Source organism: Homo sapiens, chromosome 15, assembly GCF_000001405.40.
Source record: "Homo sapiens chromosome 15, GRCh38.p14 Primary Assembly".
Classification (NCBI taxonomy): Eukaryota; Metazoa; Chordata; class Mammalia; order Primates; family Hominidae; genus Homo; species Homo sapiens.
Genome location: NC_000015.10, coordinates 45,372,332 through 45,392,447, shown reverse-complemented (window position 1 = coordinate 45,392,447; position 20,116 = coordinate 45,372,332). Strand labels below are relative to the sequence as shown.

The 20,116-nt window shown below is 41.9% G+C and overlaps 1 protein-coding gene across 6 annotated transcripts in view, besides 3 other annotated features; it reads left to right on the top strand.

Annotated features, from left to right (window-relative positions):
- Window positions 1-20,116, top strand: part of GATM (glycine amidinotransferase) — a 41,104-nt gene that overhangs the window by 9,780 nt on the left and 11,208 nt on the right. For 2 of the 6 annotated variants that reach the window (XM_047432387.1, XM_047432386.1), the window contains exons 4-5: window positions 11,879-11,964; window positions 15,629-15,847. In XM_047432387.1, coding sequence (XP_047288343.1) covers window positions 11,879-11,964; window positions 15,629-15,847 — 305 coding nt within the window. Of the gene's footprint in view, window positions 1-11,878; window positions 11,965-12,855; window positions 14,064-15,628; window positions 15,848-20,116 lie in introns of those variants that run through there. The other 4 variants (XM_047432385.1, NM_001321015.2, NM_001482.3 and 1 more) reach the window with 4 other exon arrangements.
- Window positions 288-557: an enhancer, noted in NCBI's record as "active region_9357". NCBI's record gives its function as "activates an Ori minimal core promoter by ATAC-STARR-seq in GM12878 lymphoblastoid cells {active_cell/tissue: GM12878}" and the evidence as "EXISTENCE:reporter gene assay evidence [ECO:0000049][PMID:35858748]".
- Window positions 13,556-13,635: an enhancer, noted in NCBI's record as "active region_9356". NCBI's record gives its function as "activates an Ori minimal core promoter by ATAC-STARR-seq in GM12878 lymphoblastoid cells {active_cell/tissue: GM12878}" and the evidence as "EXISTENCE:reporter gene assay evidence [ECO:0000049][PMID:35858748]".
- Window positions 13,776-14,105: a silencer, noted in NCBI's record as "silent region_6406". NCBI's record gives its function as "represses an Ori minimal core promoter by ATAC-STARR-seq in GM12878 lymphoblastoid cells {active_cell/tissue: GM12878}" and the evidence as "EXISTENCE:reporter gene assay evidence [ECO:0000049][PMID:35858748]".

Here is a 20,116-nt window from a genome sequence, read left to right as displayed (position 1 = left end):
TAGACTGCTGGTAATCAAATGAGATGATATGTATGAAATCATTTTGAAACATTACACACACACATGCACGCACACGCACGTGCATACACATGCAGAAAGTTTTCCACAAGAGTGTTGTAGTCACGTAGAGAGAATGCGCACTGTAGGAACCAGATACGGAAAGTACCTTCTTCCTCATTTCTAAGCTTGCTCTCAGCATCTTTTTCTTCCTTTCTGTCACCAAGTTTGCCTTCCTGTCCTGACTAGTTCCCCTTCTGCCCATTTCAGTTCCTAATAACAACAGTAGCTAACATGTGAGTGGTTATTTTAAGTGCTTTACATGTATTAATTCATTTAATCATAACTCTATGAGTTACATGCTATTATTATCCTTATTATATTTGAGAAAGCTGAGGTACAGAAGGGTTAAGTCACTTACACAAGGTCATACAGCTTAAATTGTAGGGTCAGGCTTTAAAGCTGGGTAGTTTGGTTCCAGAGCCCACACTCTTTATTATGATGGTATACTGTGTTTTACTCTGCCATAGGGCCTGCCACTGTCTGAGGTACACATCTGCCAACCTAAAATCTTTTGTATCCTTTTATTTTTTGTGTTTTTTTTTCTTTAGCAGAAGAACTTGAAAATTTTTTAGGCAGCAATTGGCAGTTTTTCTCTTTGCCTTCTACAATTCAATCAATGAAGCCAGAATCACTTTTGCCTAACACCAACTCTAATATAAATTTGTTACTCAGTTATGAGAAATGCAGAATCTTACCAAGTGGTATAATTCATGCTACAAACTTTGATCTTTAGTAATTGTCTGGGGCAATAATTCTGCACAGTGTTAACTAAACCACTGGCTAGCTTATACACACAAACAAATCTATTCAAGAAATGAAGTCAAAATCTCAGCTATTTTTCCTCTGCTGATTACTTGGTGTAAGATAACATTCAAGCTACTACTTGCTCAACGGTTAGGCACAAAGTTGGCAAAATCAGCTCTCTTCATGGCATTATAAAAAGAGATGAGCATTGTTTTTGTTGTTGTTGTTTTTTGAGATACAGTCTCGCTCCGTCACCCAGGTTGGAGTGCAGTGGCACGATCTTGGCTCAATGCAACCTCCGCCTCCCGGGTTCAAGTAATTCTCCTGCCTCAGCCTCTAGAGTAGCTGGGATTATAGACATGTGCCACCATGCCCAGCTTTTTTTTTTTTTTTGTATTTTTAGTAGAGATGGGGTTTCACCGTGTTGGCCAGGCTGGTCTCAAACTTCTGACCTCAGATGATCCACCTGCCTTGGCCTCCCAAAGTGCTGGGATTACAGGCATGAGCCACTGCTCCCAGCCAACGTTGTTTTGAAACGTATACAAAATACCTTTCTAAGGTATTAGAATAGAATGGTGAGAAACTAGGACTTCAACAGAACCTTGAGGTTAACTAGTTTGTACAAGTAGGCGTGGAGAGATTAAGTGACTTGCTCAAGGTTATCCAAGTAGTTAATGGTCAAGCAGTGATCTCCAGGTCAATTCTGATCTCCACATCTGCATTCATGGTGCACTTCCCTGAGCACTGCACTTCTGACTGGAACTGTCTCAGACAGGCTGTGTGGTCATCCATACAGTGATGTGAAAGACTTCTCATAGTTGAAAGACCTTTATTAGTTGCCCTAATAAAGGCACTGTATTTCACTCAGGAATCATATACTTCATTTTATATTTAAATAAGTAGATTCTGTGTATCTTATCAGCTTAATTTGAAAGGGCTAAGGGGTTGGCTACTATGGCTTAAATCCTAAAGGACAGACTTCTGCTTATGAGAAAATAGTAGCAGAAACAATGTTATAAAATGTGCATTGATGCTGTCCTAAAATCCTCAAGTGCAATTTTGGGGTAAGAAGCCTCAAGTTCTAGAAGTAGACCTTCTCTCCACACAACTGATGATAATACTAGCTTATTGTCATTTTGATGTGATCTGGATACCTCCTTTCACTGAATCAAAGGAACCATAGCATCAAAGGTCATTTAAGGAAAATAATTTTCATTCCTTTCTTTGGTTTCTATTAGAGGAATGTGTTTTTAATTTTTGTCACCTAGCTCCTTCTTTTTGTAATATTCAACTGTACTTAAAAAACAATCCATGTCTAAAATATTTTGCAGCATGAGAGAAAAGCTCCAACTGCCTTAGGAACTCACCAGCCCTGTCAACAGCCAGACCACAATATTTGGTGTGTGGGATTCCCTAAGTCCTTGCTCAGCATGTGACCTATGGACTGGCAGCATGGGTATCACGTGGGAGGTTGTTAGAAATGCAGAATCTTGGCTGGGCACAGTGGCTCATGCCTGTAATCCCAGCACTTTGGGAGGCTGTGGCAGGCGGATCGCTTGAGCCCGGGAGTTTGAGACCAGCCTGACCAACATGGCAAAGCCCTGTCTCCACTAAAAACGCAAAAATTAGATGGGTGTGTGCCTGTAGTCCCAGCTATTCGGGAGGCAGGGGCACAAGAATTGCTTGAACCTGGGAGGTGGAGGTTGCAGTGAGCTGAGATCACGCCACTGCACTCCATCCTGGGCAACAGTGTGAGACTCTGTCTCCAAAAAAAAAGAAAAAGAAAAAGAAAAAAGAAAAAAAGAAATGCAAAATCTTAGGCCTGAATCAGAATTTGCCTTTTAACAAGCTCCCCAAGTGATTCCTATGTGCATCCCTGGATGCCTTTGTAAGAATACCTATTGCTTCTTTCTAGTCTAGAAGTGAGGCTGAGACTTTCTGTACCACTACTCCAAGATACAAACCTTAAGTTAAAAACAAGAAGTCAGCCTGAGCAACATGGCAAAAACCCATCTCTGCAAAAAATACACAAATTACCTGGGCATGGTGGCATGCACCTGCTGTCCCAGCTATTCAGGTGACTGAGGTGGGAGGATCACTTCAGCCTGGGAGGTGGAGCTTGCAGTGAGCCCAGATTGTGCCACTGCACTTCAGCCTGGGCAACAGAGCAAGACTTTGTCTAAAAAACAAAACAAAACAAAAAACCCTGCAAAAACAAGAAGTCTTTGATTATTTGGGAGCATAGCTTCATTAATTTTGTTGGATAGTTATCAAACCATAGAAACTTGGATTGGAAGAAACCTTAGAGGTCATCAAGTTCAACCGTCATCACTGCTGTGAATTTCAGTATAATGACCAATTTTTGTAAAAAGGTTAAATTGTGTTCAGGATATTCTGTTCAAGAAGATGAAAAGTATTTAATTCATCTTAGAAAGGCAGCCATACAAATGGGAGAAGTTTATATATTTAAAAACTTTTAGTGTTAAAGGAAAAAGCTTCAGTTGTCTGGAAAGTTTATTGATATGAAATGTGTTGGCCATGATGATATCCCCTAAGGAGGGCTTTATCTTTTAAACTCATATTCCAACTATTTTATATCTGCCAAACGTTACTGTCTTGCACAATTATAACTTTAACTTCCTCCAACTAAGAAAATTATTACTTATCAAACTAAATTTTCCATAAGGAGAGGAAAAGAGATAAATCTTCCTTGCAGAAGAATTCCAAGCAATATATGTATGTAAACCCCTCTTCCTTTCCAGGGGAGTTGGTCTCGGAGACTCAATTCCAAAGAATAAAGTATGAAAAGGAAAAAACACCAACCAACTTTACAGAGGAAAAACCCGGCAGACACTACCTTAAGCAAATGACAGGGTTAATACCATCAGTGATATGAGAATATTACATACTACCTGATACGATACGATGAAAAGGGCACATCATCTCGGTAGTATTCTTTCCAGAACTCCATAATGCCAGTCCAATCATGAGAAATACATAAACCCAGTTCAAAGCATAGACTACAAAATATCTGATTAGTTTTCCTCAAAACTGACGAAGTCCTGAAAAACCAAAGAAAGACTAAGATACTGTCAGAGAGCAGAGGCAATCACAGAAGACATTACAACGAAATATAGTGTGGTATCCTGGATTGGATATTGGAACAGAAAAAGAATGTTAGTGGAAAAACTGGTAAGATCCAAGTAAAGTCTGGAGTTTAGTTAATAATGATTTACAGTGTTGGTAGCTTAGTTTTAGCAAATGTATCTTAGCTGTGGAAGACAATAACAGGGTAAACCAAAACAGGGCGATGGGTGTACAGGAACTCTGTACTATCTTTGTAACTTTTCTGTAAATCCAAAAACAGATAGAAAACAAAATTTCCCACAAACTCATGAAAATTATTTTAACATATTAAAGTACAGACAGACTTCCACAAGTTTAGAAGGCTGACTTGTGCAGAATACCTACTTAAGATATCCACACTTAATCAGTCTGGTATAGTACCTCACGCCTGTAATCTCAGCACTCTGGGGGGCTGACTGAGGCAGGAGGAGCACTTGAGCCCAGGAGTTCAAGACCAGCCTGGGCAACATAGCAAGATTCTGTCTTTAATTTTTTAAAAATTAATATAATCACACTTAAAGCCCTTCTTGAGACCTATAGCACCATTTTGCTAGACTTGGAAGTTTAAGGTTTTCAGATTTGAATTCCCAGAGTATAAAATCAAAGTCTGTTTTCCAAAAGTTCACTTAACTCTTGAAAAAAGAATTGCACTGAGAATTTATCTCAGCAGAGTGTGGTGAATTTGGATGAATCATTTAGCCTTGGGCCATGAGGTTATCCCAACTATAAAATAAGATCCCTCTTAGTTTTAAAATTCTGTAAATATGCCTCTCTCAAACATTGTAAATATTGTTTTAAAGTGAGGTACAAATTCCAAGGGAAAAAATAAAACTTTGACTAGGCAATTGATTCCACAAACATTTATTAAGTGATAATCACTGTGCTAAGTACAACAGGAGCTGTAGCCCTTGCTCTCCAGAGGTCTGGCGAAAGAGATATGTAAACAAGCTGTTACAGCCATGTATAAGTGCTCTAAAAAAAGTATTAACAAGGTGTGCTGTGGTACACAGGAAGAAGTTGCTTCATTCTTCTGGAGATGTTACAGAAGGTTTGGACATAAAAAAAAAAAAACAGGAATACCATGAAATAGTACTGTTTGATCTAATCAGAGTCAATGAGGGATTAGTCCTATACTAGTAAACATTTATCTTCATTGGCTGTTTGTAAATATCTGGGAATTACTGGATTTTCCCAGTGCTAAATTGGCTGCAGAGTCAGAAATTTGGTTGCTACAGAATTGTGCCAGAAAAGCACAAGTATCTCAAGTTGCAGATGCATTCTCTTGGGAATGTCTGAAATCTGTCCCCTGAAATGATTTAATTGCTGTCACATGAACAACATAACTTTCCAGAAAAGGCAGTGTGTTGGCTGACATAGTCTGTCATTACTAAATCAAGCCTTCATAAAAACCTCATGCCTCACAGGTCATTCCATTTCCATCTTATAGCTGAATATTTCTAGTTTAGCCTTTGCAATATATAGTCTTATATGGTCTTCGTATTCAGTTTTGCTTTTAAATTCTGAATAGCATGGTAAACAGTAATTTAGAGTTCCTAAGCAAAAGTTCAATATTGGACCCTACTTTGATTCTAAGCTTGCAAATTCTGAATAATTCTATTTGAACAGACCTTTCTTTAGCAGGGAGAACGTGACTATGGAGGACGTTTTGTCACTTAAATGACCATAAGTGGAGGAGATGAGTGCTTCCTCCTGGGATGTTGCCCAAGACAAGTAAGAATATTCGAGAGGGATGCAGAAAACTGGCTAATGTTACTTCTTCAATTCCCAGGGCCCAGCTAGAGAAGTGCCTTTTGCTGGGAATGATAATTCTGGAAAATTCCCTACCAGCAACAAGCGAGACAGACAGGAGCGAAATAGCAAGCACAGACTGAGAACTGGGCAAAGTGCACAACAGAGAGATAGGCAGAAGTGTCTTCCCACGCTAATCTCCCTGTTCTGCCAGATCACAGCGTGTATGGACATGAGAGGAGCCAGGTGGCTGTGGGAGGTTTTCTCCCAGAGCAGTATCTACAGTTTTCTTAGGGCAGAGCTGCAAGGGAAAATATCTGTGACAACAAGAGTTGTTTCTAAGCAGACACAGGGCCTTTTGCTTCTAAAAATAATAGCGATTAGGGTTTTTTTCTGATTATAAATGTAGCAAAGTCTCATAGAGAAAGGTATACAAATTGCAGAAAAGCAGAAAGAAGAATATAAAGGTTACCCATTACATCTCCACGCAAAGATTGTCACTATTTAAATTTTGGTAAATTTCTTTCCAGAATTTTATGTGCATACATATGTTCAACATGGTTCAGAGAATACTGTACATACAATTTCATATTCGGTTATTTTTCAGTTAATATTGTGAGGAAGCCAGAGATCACTTCCAACCCCACTTTTAGCTCTTAGTGGGCTTTTTAGCTGGATGTAGAGGCCAAATTGAGAGCAGGCAGATTAACAAGAGAAAAGCGTACAAATTTTATTACTTTTACATGTACATAAGGATCTCCACAGGAAAGTGAAGTGTGAAGAAGTAGTCAAAGCAAGATGCTTTTATACTTTTTTAGACAAGGAACAATAAATTTGAGTAGAAATGACAGGACAAAGACAATCTGGCTAGGGACAGTGAATTTTCTAGAGGAGTCACTAGGAGATATATGGTGGGGTATAAAACTGGTGAAAGATAAGAGTTACTTCATTAAGTATGTTTGTTTAGGTCCATTGTCAACTGCAATTCCAAGTCTCTGGTGATAAGAGCTGTTTTCTCGCCCTAGTATGGAGAGGGTACTCCTCCCAGAGAAATCTTTATTGCTTACTATATACAGAGAGACAGGTCAGCTTCCTTTTTCTAAGACTAAATTTTCTCTAATGTTTTCAACTCAAAATAATATGTCAACCTGACATATTTTAAAATGACACATCCTCCACATCCTAGCTTATTAAAAGAAAAACTCTCTTTAAACATTATTTAGTGGTGCATGTTCATCTTATGATGAAATTTATTTATTATAAATCCTAAATTTATTCATTCACTTAAGAAATATTAAGAAAAATGTATTTATTCATCTAAGACCCAAGCATTTTGCCAAATGCTGAATGTGTAATAATTTCCTTAACCATTCTTTAATTGTTGTTGGTCATTCAATCTGTTTCTTATAGCATTTTTTTGAGGCTTTAGACAAAAAGTGTAAATAGAGAATCAGCTTGGAGAAGATGTTTGAAAAAGTACTGGGAAAGGAATTTAGGCTACAAGAATGAGATGAGGGAGAAGGTCCAGTGACAGCTGCCTTCTTACCACTAAGGTGCCCCAAAAATATTTCCTGCAACACCAGGGATTGTTTATGGACAGTGGCATCTTCGTGGCACCAATATCATGTAACATAATGATAGAGATTCACTAACTTCTGCATCATTTCTGGAATTAGCCAATATGACTTCCTCACTTTTGGGCACTGTCTAGATACGCACTGTCTGACTAGCACAACCAGTGCTAGAGGCTGTTGGGTTAAGAAAGGGAAAGGTTGGCTCACACCTGTAATCTCATTTCTTTGGGAGGCTGAGGCAGGAGGATCATGGGAACCCAGGAGTTTGAGACCAGCCTAGGCAACATAGTATGACCTCATCTCTACAAAAAAATGTAAACATTAGCCAGGCAGTGATGCATATCTGTAGTCCCTGGTACTTGGGAGTTTGAGGTGGGAGGATTGCTTGAGCCTGGGAGGTCAAGGCTGCAGTGAGCTATGATCGCACCACTGCACTCCAACCAGGATGACAGAGGGAGACTCTGTCTCAAAAAACAAAGGAGGGGTGGGGAAGTGTCAATTTAGGGGAAATGTAAGGCACAGCTTTCTCAGTGGCGTGAGTGGAGCTATTTTAGCTACCACTAAAAGTCCGAGGGTTGTAATTAAGTCAGGATGAACATACATTGTATTTCCAGAACCATCCCAATGGGACAGACCCTTCTAAGGCAATTTCCCCTTCCTGCTGTCCCTTCTTTGACTACAGTGCAGGGAGCAACAGCTACCCCTATGCTAAAATACCTTCTCTTGCCTCTGTAGAGTTCCCAACAGAGATCTAAGCTATACCTGAGCTTGTTTAGAGGCCTTATACTAGTTCTGGACTTTCTATCTCTTTAGCATTCAGCTCTAGCTGACCCACATAAGTTCAGTTTGTCAAAGACTCATTACCATGCAGTCTTTATGGGTATAGCATTATCCTAAGAAGGACAGTTATAAATAACTCCCAGAAAAAACACTCAGAGATATCTTGAAATATCAAGATGGCAGCATGCGACACAATATGCAGCTTACAGGAGTGGTGAACACTGAAAGTAGTTGGACTACATGTATGCACCCTGCATCATGCAGTAGCTATTCTCCTGAGAATCTGTGAGAAAATCAAGTGTCCTAGAAGTTAAGGGCTCAGGCTTTTGAGTCTTAGAGGCCTGGATTTGAATTTTGGCTCTATTAGCCACTTGGCCACTGTTTCACTTAGGACAATTTGTTTAATCCTGTAGGGCTCGGTTTCTTCATCTTTGAAACAAAAATATTATAAGAATACCTCATAGATGACTAAATGAAATAACATGTGAAGCTCTTATCTGGCACATAGTAAGTGCTCAGTAAATAGTAGTTATTATTATTAGAGTAGAAATGATTTTAAAATTAATTGAAGCTGGCCGGGCATGGTGGCTCATGCCTGTAATCCCAGCACTTTGGGAGGCTGAGGCGGGCAGATTGTGAGGTCAGGAGTTCGAGACCAGCCTGGCCAATATGGTGAAACCCCATCTCTACTAAAAATACAAAAATTAGCCAGAAATCGCTTTAACCCGGGAGGCGGAGGTTGCAGTGAGCTGAGATCATGCCACTGCACTCCAGCCTGGGCAACAGAGTGAGACTACATTAAATTAAAAAAAAAAAAAGCAGCAATTTGGCAAATGGGTTGGCCTTTGCCTTTAAGTTTAGTCAGAACCTTAAGAAAGAGAATGGTGTTTACTGTTTTTAAATTCCAGAAGGGTATTTGAAGACTAAAGTAAAAAAAATAAGAAGATCCCTTGGAGCAGACTTCAAATGTTTCTTCCTCAGTTTTCTTAAAGCTGTATCAGTTTCAGTGCTAACCTAAGCTGAGATTATTTTAAATACTTGGAGAAAGCTGGCATTTAATTTAGCTGGAGCTAGTGTTTTGCAGTTGTCTTCCAATGAAAGAATCTACCTCATTGGGAGATGTTGAGCAGTAATAACACAGCTGTTCAAAACTAGTAAAAATCCTAAAATGACTCGTAAGGGACAGTGCAGAGGCTGCCTTCACAAGATTTTGTAACTCATTTGAAATCAAAGACTGCAAAGTACCAAAGAGGGAGCTCTGGTTATTCTAGCCTGGGCCATCAGAGTGGCATTGAACAATTGATTAAGGACTCTGGCTGTGTCAGGCACTGTGCTAGGGATATACTGGTGGGTAAAACAGACTCCCTGTCCTTAAGGAGCCAACAGCCATATAAGCAGGCAATTCCAGGGAACACAGGCTATTGTGGGATCAGGCCAGTCCCACAGCATTTCAGATTTAGAAAGTAAATTCCATCAGTTTACCTGGAATTGACTAGGTAGTCAGGAAAAAGAGAACATTAAGAAGGGAAACATAATTAGGAAGCAAGAACTGAGCTAGAACTCACCACACTCTGAGGGATAAGCTAGAATGTTTATTATTATTATTATTACTAATATTTTTGAGACAGAGTTTCTCTCCTGTTGCCCAGGCTGGAGTGCAGTGGTATGATCTCGGCTCAGGGCAACCTCCACCTCCTGGGTTCAAGCAATTCTCCTGCCTCAGCCTCCAGAGTAGCTGGGATTACAGGTGTGCACCAACACGCCTGGCTAATTTTTGTATTTTTAGTAGAGACGGGGTTTTGCCATATTTGCCAGGCTGGTCTCAGATGGGTTCAAGCAATTCTCCTGCCTCAACCTCCCGAGTAGCTGGGATTACAGGTGTGCACCAACACACCTGGCTAATTTTTGTATTTTTAGTAGAGATGGGGTTTTGCCATGTTTGCCAGGCTGGTCTCAAACTTCTGACCTCAGGTGATCCACCCACCTCAGCCTCCCAGAGTGCTGAGATTACAGGTGTGAACCACCACACCCAGCAGAATACTGATTTAATACTTTACAATGAGATCTTCATCTTTCCAGCTATCAGATCACTTGTGCTCAGCCTGCAGGGTAACTCCCCTATGCCAAGGTTCCCAGGGATGAGCTTGGTGAGCTCACAAGTTAGAGGAGGTGAATAGTTTTGAGGGATATTTCATAAAAACCCACAGAATTATTCTTGTCCTCAATAGATTTAACCTTTCCAGAGGCCAGAATATTCTGATTCCATCCTTAGGTAGATCTGGATGAACAGACTCCGATAGGTTGGCCACTCAGGCTTCCTTTTTAAAAACTCCATGTTGATAATCACACCCTGCAAATGCAGTCTTTTAAATATGTTTTTTGTTTATTAGGTAATTCACTCACGTGTTCAAAGGTACAATAAGGCTTACAGTGGAAAATCTCTCTCATTCCTGTTTCCTAGTCATCCAGGTCCCCTCCCCAGGGACAACTTAGGTTATCAGTATCTGTGTATCCTTCCAAATATATTTTATTGATGCAGCCCAAATAATATTTTCTAAAAAAATTGCAGCTTTATTTACATTCCAGGCATGAGAATATACTTTAGTCACCTTGTTTGAACTTGAGTAATACATTATTGTTTCTAATTTACTTTGAGAGATATCCTTCCCCTAAACTGTAGGTACAAATGTCTCTTAGAATAGGTGACTTCTGTAGATAGCTAATCTCATCCAGTGTATCTGTGTGTATATGTGTGTGCTTAACCAATTTCACAGAGTATCTGTATTCTTAAGTTCTAGGAACACCTTCCTCTGTACTTGTTTATGCCCTATGTACAGATTCTGAAGTCAACCATGATATAGAAATAATAAATTCTTACAACGGGCTCTTTTGTTGTTTATTTTGTTAATCCAATGACTTTACTTGCTTTTTTAATTTCAAGACACATTTCAAAAACTCTGTGCTTTGTTGGTTGGAACTAGGGAGAGTTGGGCATATCTCGAAAGCAACAGTGATGAGGAAGAATTGAAAAGCTGAATTTTTGCCATGCTTCTGGTATGTTTTCTATTCCCTGTCCTTTTAGACCCCTTTATACACACACTATCCTAAATTATGCCTTTAAGTTAAGCTACAAAGATGAACTACTATTAGACTTGAATATGCATAACGACTAGGTATGAGACCACCAAGATCCTAAAATTATTGGTTCAATCAAAGTATTTAATGGTATCTACTGCCAATAGGGGAAGGCAAGACAAGACTTCACAGTCTATTCCATTTCTTCTGAATAAGGCAGCAACTAAAGACCACGGAGTTGCCAACTATCACTATATAGATACTTTGCAGAGTTGGCCCAGTATTAGACAAACAATCTAATATGGAAAGCTTGTACTTTAAATTGATGAGGTCACTCTAGAAATTGTTACCAAATTTTTTCAAAAACAGAACATAGAAGAGAATGAAAAAATATAATTGTAGTGAATGAATAAAAGTGTGGTATAAAAGGGGAAAAAGGACAAAGAATGAAAGTAAATCAGAGGCATAGCAAAAAGGAGGAGTGAGTGCTTTGATTTGCTTTTATAACAGTAGGACTGGTTTGGGTGGCGCTATCCACACACTTTCTGCTGGATCCCAGGAGATAAGGGTATGCTCTTTGGCTATGAGTTTTTCATTATGTAAAACTTAACAACATCGTAAACTTCATTATTACCAGACACTCCCAATTCTTACATCTGCAAAATTAAAATAGTGCTTTTAATGGGTGGCAAGAGGATGTCCTCCAATCTCAAGCAGAAATGGTATAGTAATCTCAAGGGCTTGTTATGTGTACTTACTGTACTCTTCAGTTCTTTTCAGGAGAAGCACATCTCTGGCTGCCCTCAGTACACTAAGAGAATCAGACCTCAGAGGTGGCTGCATTTTATTGTTGGGAGTAAGTACTTTTTAAATTTTGAGAAATGTTAGAGATTTCCCAAAACCTCACTAGAAGTATGAAGCCTTGATTAGAAAGATAAAGGGATTTGGTTCCAGGTCACACAGCAAATTAAGTGGCAGAATTAAGTTATGAACCTAGACTTACTCCTTTCACCATATTATGGCATTTGGGGGCCTCCTTATTGCTAGAGTAGTAACACATTACCTCATATAGCTTTTTTTTTTTTTTTTTCCCCAGATGGAGTCTTGCTCTGTCGCCCAGGCTGGAGTGTAGTGGCTCGATCTCAGCTCAGTAGCTGGGATTACAGGCACCCACCACCATGCCCGGCTTTTTTTTTTTTTTTTTTTTTTTTTTTTTGAGACGGAGTCTAGCTCTGTCGCCCAGGCTGGAGTGCAGTGGCGCCATCTCGCCTCACTACAAGCTCCACCTCCCGGGTTCACGCCATTCTCCTGCCTCAGCCTCCCGAGTAGCTGGGACTACAGGCGCCCGCCACCACGCCCGGCTAATTTTTTTTTGTATTTTTAGTAGAGACGGGGTTTCACCATGTTAGCCAGGATGGTCTTGATCTCCTGACCTCGTGATCCGCCCGCCTCGGCCTCCCAAAGTGCTGGGATTACAAGCATGAGCCACCGCGCCCGACCTAGTTTTTGTATTTTTAGTAGACAGGGTTTCATCATGTTGACCAGGATAGTCTCAAACTCCTGACCTCAGGCAATCCGCCTGCCTCGGCCTTCCCAATTGCTGGGATTACAGGCGTGAGCCACTGCACCCGGCCTCATACAGCTCTAATGCCACGCATCAAGTTCTGCATGTACAATCTCTCATTTTGGCCTCTCAGCAACCCCCCATGTGCTAGGGACAGTAAATTCTATTGTTCTCACTTTGCAGATAAGAAGACTGCAATTCAGGAAGACATATAGTAGTCTATAAGTGATTCAGGACTGGAACTCAGTTATCCTAATTCCCTCTCGGAGGCTCTTTCCACCATGCCATCTGCTCGTCTGGTGCTTTCCATCCATGAACTCTGGAAAACAAGCTTGAGATACCAAAATTGAAAAGACAGCTCATCAAAAATGAATAGTTATAATTCTATAAGTACAAAAATGAAATACTCAAATCTCTTGCCCCCCCTCCTGCTAGGAGCATAAATGTTAACCTGAGTTCTCTAGCTCTGTACAAATCCACAGCAATTAAGACTGCACTGTGAGGGAAAATACTTTTCTAAAAAAGAATCCTGATCAAGTTGAAACAAAAATTTTAAAACATGAAATGGAAGGAACGAAACTGTCGTCCTCCCTTATTTCTGACCCACACTTGTCGATTTTCATGACGGAGTTTCTCAAGCCAGGGGCATATGGCCAAAGACCATGTGAAATGCCAGGTGTTCCAAATAACAACCGACGGGGTACTGGAAGGAAAGCACTGCCTCCCCGGGGAACAAATGGCCCAATTTCCAGACTTAGTTTTCTGCAGTCTCAAACCCGATGTTGCACCAAGAAACCACCTAATCTTTAGGTGGTTTCGTTTACCGAAAAATGAGGTGACTGGTTCAGTGCGCATATGTGAATTTAAGGGTAACACTGTACTCACGCTTTGCATATTTAAATTCTCAAATATTCACTTAATATATGCATAGACCATTGTCACTTCGTCAGAAGTCGCGTCCTGCCCAGTTGCGCGAGACTCCAACGGGCCTTCTTGCGACGCTCGGGTCTGGGTCCGGGTCCGGACGTGCAACAGAAGCCGTCAGTGGCCCCGCTGGCTAAAAAAGGGCAAGCATCGGAGGCTCGAGCCAGCGGCCGCGGCGCTTCCCGACAGTTCCTAATTCGGGGCGCTACGCCGGCCCCACCACCTGTTCCCGGCAGCCAATGGGGCCGCGGGGGGCGGCCGGGGCGGAGCGCGGCTACAAAAGGCCTCGGGCCCCGCGCGCCCGCCCACCCCGCTCCGGGCGCGCTCTCGGGAAGGCTTGGACCGACGCGGCCCAGAGGCCAGGAACATTCCGCGCGTGGACCAGCCGGGCCAGGGCGATGCTGCGGGTGCGGTGTCTGCGCGGCGGGAGCCGCGGCGCCGAGGCGGTGCACTACATCGGATCTCGGGTGCGTGCGCCACCGGCCTCGTCTGGCGGCCGCGTGACTCACTCGATCCTGCGGGCGGCGTGGAGCACTCGCTCGCTCCCTGCCCGGAGCCGCCACCTTCCCTCGCTTTCCCTAGCCGGAATTGCACGAGAGTGTCCCTTCTGGTATCCCTGGGAAGCTCAGCTTCAAGAGCCTTCGCAGGCTCCAGGAGCTGGGCGGCGTCCCCCAGTCAGGGGGAACTTGCGTTGCGGCTCCAGCCCTTGGGGTCCACTTGCTGTCTGCGCGTCCGCGGCCTGCTGGCCCACGGCGCAGGGGGCGCCGCCCCCCTCTACCGGACCTTGGTGCGCTGCACCAAGCTTCCCGCTCGGAGCAAGGGGTTGGGACGACGGAGGCTCCTCTTAGTAAAAGGGTGGCGTTATTGGGGTTCAGTAGCCTGAGTGGGCGTCGAGTTGGGGAGATTTCTGGAAAATGCGTGTGGGGTAGATGGATGGGGAGAAGAGGCAAGCAAAGTGGGAATCGGGGACGGGGAGCGAGCGACCAGATTCACTCCAAGTATAACATGGGATCCCACGTCTGGAGAGGAGTCGGGGCGAGTGCAGCCTGTAAGCAGAGTTTCTGCGCTCCCCGCCCTCGGCTGCCCTGGCAGCAGACCCTCCCATGCTTCTAGTACTGGAATCGCTCCGACATTCTGGCTTCCTCCCAGCAACTGGTTCCTGAACAGCTGTCATTCTCCGTCTTTCTTCTGCCTCCACCCGAGTTCTCCTCCTGCCCACTTCCTAAGGCTTTTAACAGAGCAGGATAGAGATTTGGGGGGTTGAGGTTTGCTCAGGGGTTGAGGGACCCTCCCTGCTCTAGATTTTATAGGCCATGCATTTTTAAAAGGCTTTTGAAGTTTTTAGATCTCCTTCTTATTTGTTTGAATTTACGCCTGAGCTAATCCTGACCTTGGCTAGGGTACTGTGGACCATCTGTAAAATGGAGCAGATGGCAGTTGCTCACTCTCAGAATTGAAGTGCCAAAGAATGCGAAGTGTATGTCAAAGATGAAAAAAATTTGATTTGAAGCTGGTTATTCTGAAAGATAAGGTCCTTTACAAATGTTCCCAACTTTTCATTTGTAAAAAAAAATAAATAAAAAGCCTAATATTGGTAACCTTTGATACTTAAGGGAAAAGGAGGTTCCGTCCCCAGCTGAGACTGGCGGGAAGTTTTAGAGCAGCTGTCTATGGTTTTCTGAGAGGAGGACTGACCCATCTGCAAAACAGTTGCTTAAAGCTTGAGTGCAGGAATTGCATTCTGAGATAAAGATGGGGGTGTATGGTAGCTGGGGACACGGTCTTCTGAGGAGTTTTAAAGAGTTACAGCAATTAATAGATAAGAAGACAATTTGTAGATAAACAAGAGGGTTAAAAAAATTATCTGTAATCCCACTACCCACCTACACACTGTTAACGTCTTGGTTTATGCTGTTCTAAAGGGGTTTAAGTGGCAATGTTATGCTGGATTTTTACTCCATCTCCACTTCCTCCTCTCTGTAAGTACTGATAGAGCAATGCAATACAATAATCTTTTCTTTGTTCTTGGAAGCTTGGACGAACCTTGACAGGATGGGTGCAGCGAACTTTCCAGAGCACCCAGGCAGCTACGGCTTCCTCCCGGAACTCCTGTGCAGCTGACGACAAAGCCACTGAGCCTCTGCCCAAGGACTGCCCTGTCTCTTCTTACAACGAATGGGACCCCTTAGAGGAAGTGATAGTGGGCAGAGCAGAAAACGCCTGTGTTCCACCGTTCACCATCGAGGTGAAGGTAAAGGAAGGCTATTCACATGTCTGAAAGTGCGCTCCCTCCTCACCTGCTGCTGCTACCCTCTGACTGCTTTCCCTTCAGCTTACTCCCAGACCTCTCAATCCAGTGATTAAGTTATCTTACTTGACACCTCTGTGGTATTTGACACTATTTACACCAATGATAATTGCTTCCTTCCTGAAGAGCTTCCTGAAGCTCTTCCCTTGGATTCTGAGAGAGCTTTTCTGGGAATAATAGTTCTTTCACTGTCCTCAGATCTTCTTCCGTCACAGCCTGTAATGGCAAGGTTGAACAGAATATTACTTTCAGCCCCCTTCTCTTAGCCATTCTCACAGCTACCGCTCCCACCTCCTCTCTGGTCCGGATCTCTGTATTGAACTCCTTCCAGATCAACGAGTTAAACTCCTTACGGGATATTGCCACAGGACTTCAAACTTGGCACATCTGGAGTTCAGTTGCCAGCCACCTGCTCAAGTGGATCCCTCCTCATTCCTGCCTTTTAATTATTGGCATTCCTATTTAATCAAGCTAAAACACAAAAGAATCATCTTTGATTTCTCCTTATGTCACGTGATGTAACAAGGCTTTTGTCAAAAATGAATCTTGCCTCATTCCTCTGCTTTGCCTCTCCCTAAAGGTTGGGAGCTCATCTGCTGCCTGGACTATTGCAGTTAACTCCTAACTGGTCACTCCTACTCACTCTTCTCACCAAATCACCTGGCAGCTGCAATCCAAGTGATTTTTTAAAACTCAGATGTGATCATGTTACTCATCCTGCTTCTTTTCCTCCTGTACTTTGCTAGGCGACCCCCACTACCCCACCACCCCCCGCATTGTTTAGGATAAAGTCTTCATGGTATTCAAGATCCTTCACAATCTGACTCTTGTCTGCATTTCCAGGATTCCCCATTCCAGTTATTGACTCATCTGTTAGTACAGCAGATTAGCAGGTGTTCATTTCTGGTCAAGTCCCTCTATCCTCTAATATTCCACCCTGGTTTTCAGCAGACTTTATAAGACAACCATATAAGGCAGCTAAGCTAGACTACTCACTGTTTCTTCACAAGCCCTGCATCTTTGCCCCTACCTAAGTCTCTTCCATCCATCTTCCTGTGCCCTTTAGTCTGTAGTTTAAACCTACCACCACCTAGCTTCAATGACACCTTTCACAAAGTCTTCCAGGATTTCCCTGGCAACAAGTAATATCTCTCTTTTTAAAAACTCCTAGTGGTGGCCAGGCGCGGTGGCTCACACCTGTAATCCCAACACTTTGGGAGGCTGAGGCGGGTGGATCACGAGGTCAGGAGATCGAGACCATCCTGGCTAACACGGTGAAACCCCGTCTCCACTAAAAATACAAAAATTAGCCAGGCGTGGTGGCGGGTGCCTGTAGTCCCAGCTACTTGGGAGGCTGAGGCAGGAGAATGGCATGAACCCAGGAGGCAGAGGTTGCCGTGAGCTGAGATGGCGCCATTACACTCCAGCCTGAGCAACAGAGTGAGACTCCATCTCAAAAACAAACAAACAAACAAAAACTCCTAGTGGTTTTTATCTGTAACGTTCTTATATCCAGGGCCTCTATGGGCTGGTGTTCAGGTTCTATACTGCATAAGGATTCCATATCTAAGGGACCACTTTCCACATTGTAGACACAGCCTAGACTCCTATTAATAATGGGTTACAAATGTATCTTTAGTGTCCTTAAATTTTTCCTGAATATTTACACTTTTATTTGTAAAGTGGATTGAGGAAAGAAGTTCTGTAACAGCATTGTCGTGGTCTTCAGAAATATTGCCTACCATGTACCAGGGCTCTAGAGGTATTAATATAAAAGATCTTCCTTTCTATTTGAAGAGATTTGATGTTCACATAGAAACGAAGACCAAGTATCTTATTCCAGTCGACTGACAAGGCAGTTGAAGTGCCAGGAAAGAGGAATGACCAAGGGCTGGCCAGTTAAGAAGTCCTCTTGAAGAAAATGACTCCTGAGTTAGACTTGGAAGACAGGGAAATAGAAAAAGTAATAACTTCTAATTGTTCTGAAACTATCTTTGGTTCTGATATTTGGAATTTGATGAGAAGATTAATTTATACACCATCCACATGTTTTTAAAAGGCATAGTAGTCTTTTTAAGTCTTTTCTTGAAAAGTCCCATCCCCTAACCATTTTAATTGGGTGAAATTAAAATTTAAATCCAAGCAATAATTTATCCTTCTACTTGTCTTTAAAATGATAGACTTTCATATCATGCGATTTTACAGAATCAGAATTCTCAGAGGTAATTTTGAGTTCTTTGTCACTTGATTTATGACTTTAGACTTTGTCATTTCATGGACTTGTGGAAAAAGTACCATGCTGAAGTCAGGAGTCTGGGATTAATTAGGTATTTGATAAAAACTTGATAGCTAGTCTCGGTTACTTAGCTATTTGACCTTGTACAAGATTCCACAAATTTCTGGGCCACAGTAAAATGAAGATATTAAGAGGTTTGCTAGTTTGCTATCTACCTAACAGGATTAAGGATTAATCTAAAGATAAAAGGTTACATGTTAAGTATTTTAAAGGACAACACAACAACTTATTATAGTTGTATGGATCCAGTTTGCCAATTACATTCCAAAGGTACTTTGTCGGTGTAATAGTTGTAGATATCAGTAACATTAGCAGTATTGATTTCATTCGTCTGGTTCTTTTTGTTTGTTTATTCTTCTTTCTCTTTCTCTCTTTGATTCTAGACAGGAAATAATGGTTATTTCTGTTTCATGCCATGTGCTAAGCCTGGTTTTGAGGGAGAAGAAAGTAAATCTAAGACATGCATGGATCCTAGCAAGCAAGGCCATGCCTCGTAGTAGAGAAGAATGACACATATATTAATCAGTTTGGGAACAATAAAAGAAAAAATAATGTAGTAAACTGTCCATAGGCAATCAGAGCAGAAGATGTTGGAAGATATAAGTACTAGAGAAATTTTAAGGAAAGGAATGTGGAACATAATTGTTGGGAAGCATAATTTTTTAAAGCTCTGTGACTTTTTGTTCTGCAAAATATAGTAAATATCTGCTATCAAATATATATATATATAGATATATATTTTTTTAAGATGGAATCTCGCTGTCTCGCCCAGGCTGGAGTGCAGTGGCGTGAGCTCGGCTCGCTGCAAGCTCCGCCTCCTGGGTTCATGCCATTCTCCCACCTCAGCCTCCCAAGTAGCTGGGACTACAGGTGTCCCCCACCAGGCCTGGCTAATTTGTTTTTTTTGTATTTTTAGTAGAGACGGGGTTTCACCGTGTTAGCCAGGATGGTCTCGATCTCCTGACCTCGTGATCCACACGCCTTGGCCTCCCAAAGTGCTGGGATTGCAGGGGTGAGCCACCGTGCCCAGCCTCAAATATGTTTTTTGTTTTGCTTTTGTCTTTTAAAAATAAAGCCCTTGATAAAGGACCTTTTATAAAATACAAGATTAATCAAGATTAGTGTAATATAAGCTTACAGCTGGATAAATACATTTCTGTTGTCATTTCTTAGCCTTCCAAAGACAGTATTTAAAAATTCACTTGGCAAACCTTTGTAAAGGGTTTTAGGCTTTGAAAGAATATAAAGGTTCAAGGAATGCAGACATACCTTTGCAACAGATTATTAAAAGCATCATATGCTAAGCGTCTAATATAGTGTTCATCATCTTGCAAACAACTTGGTGAATGATTGCTGGCTCATTTAGCAGGGTTATAAAGGAAGTGTAAACAATTTCTAGCTATCTCTTGTAAAACGTATTGTGCCCTGATCATTTGTACTTTGCCCAACCTTTGCCAGATTATAAACTCTACAAGAAAAAATCACATTTGTTCAAATAACCTTTTTCTCCCAGGAAGGTTTAATTTATCAAGGCAAGCTTCACCCTGCACAAATAGTCACGGAGGATACTTTGGAATGAGTCTGGCAAGACAGCATAACTCTGCATCTGCTGTAACCCAGTGTTAAATTTTCAAAGGCTTCTTGTCCCTAGTGGATTGTAGGAGATGTGCCTGGCATGAGAAGGAGGAAGTGGTGAATGGATGAGTAGTACCAGCATGTATCTGAGAGGAATATAAAGAGTCATTATTATCCTCTTTCTGGTTGCTGTTGCAGAAATTCCTAGGAGTAGAAAACAGTGGAGTGCTTTTATTTTGTTTTTTGAAAGGGTAGCTTGGTCTTTAAAAATGTTTAATGATGATAACATTTTTCATTAGTCCAGAAATTCAGCCTGCTGTTTGCCTATAGACCTTAGTAAA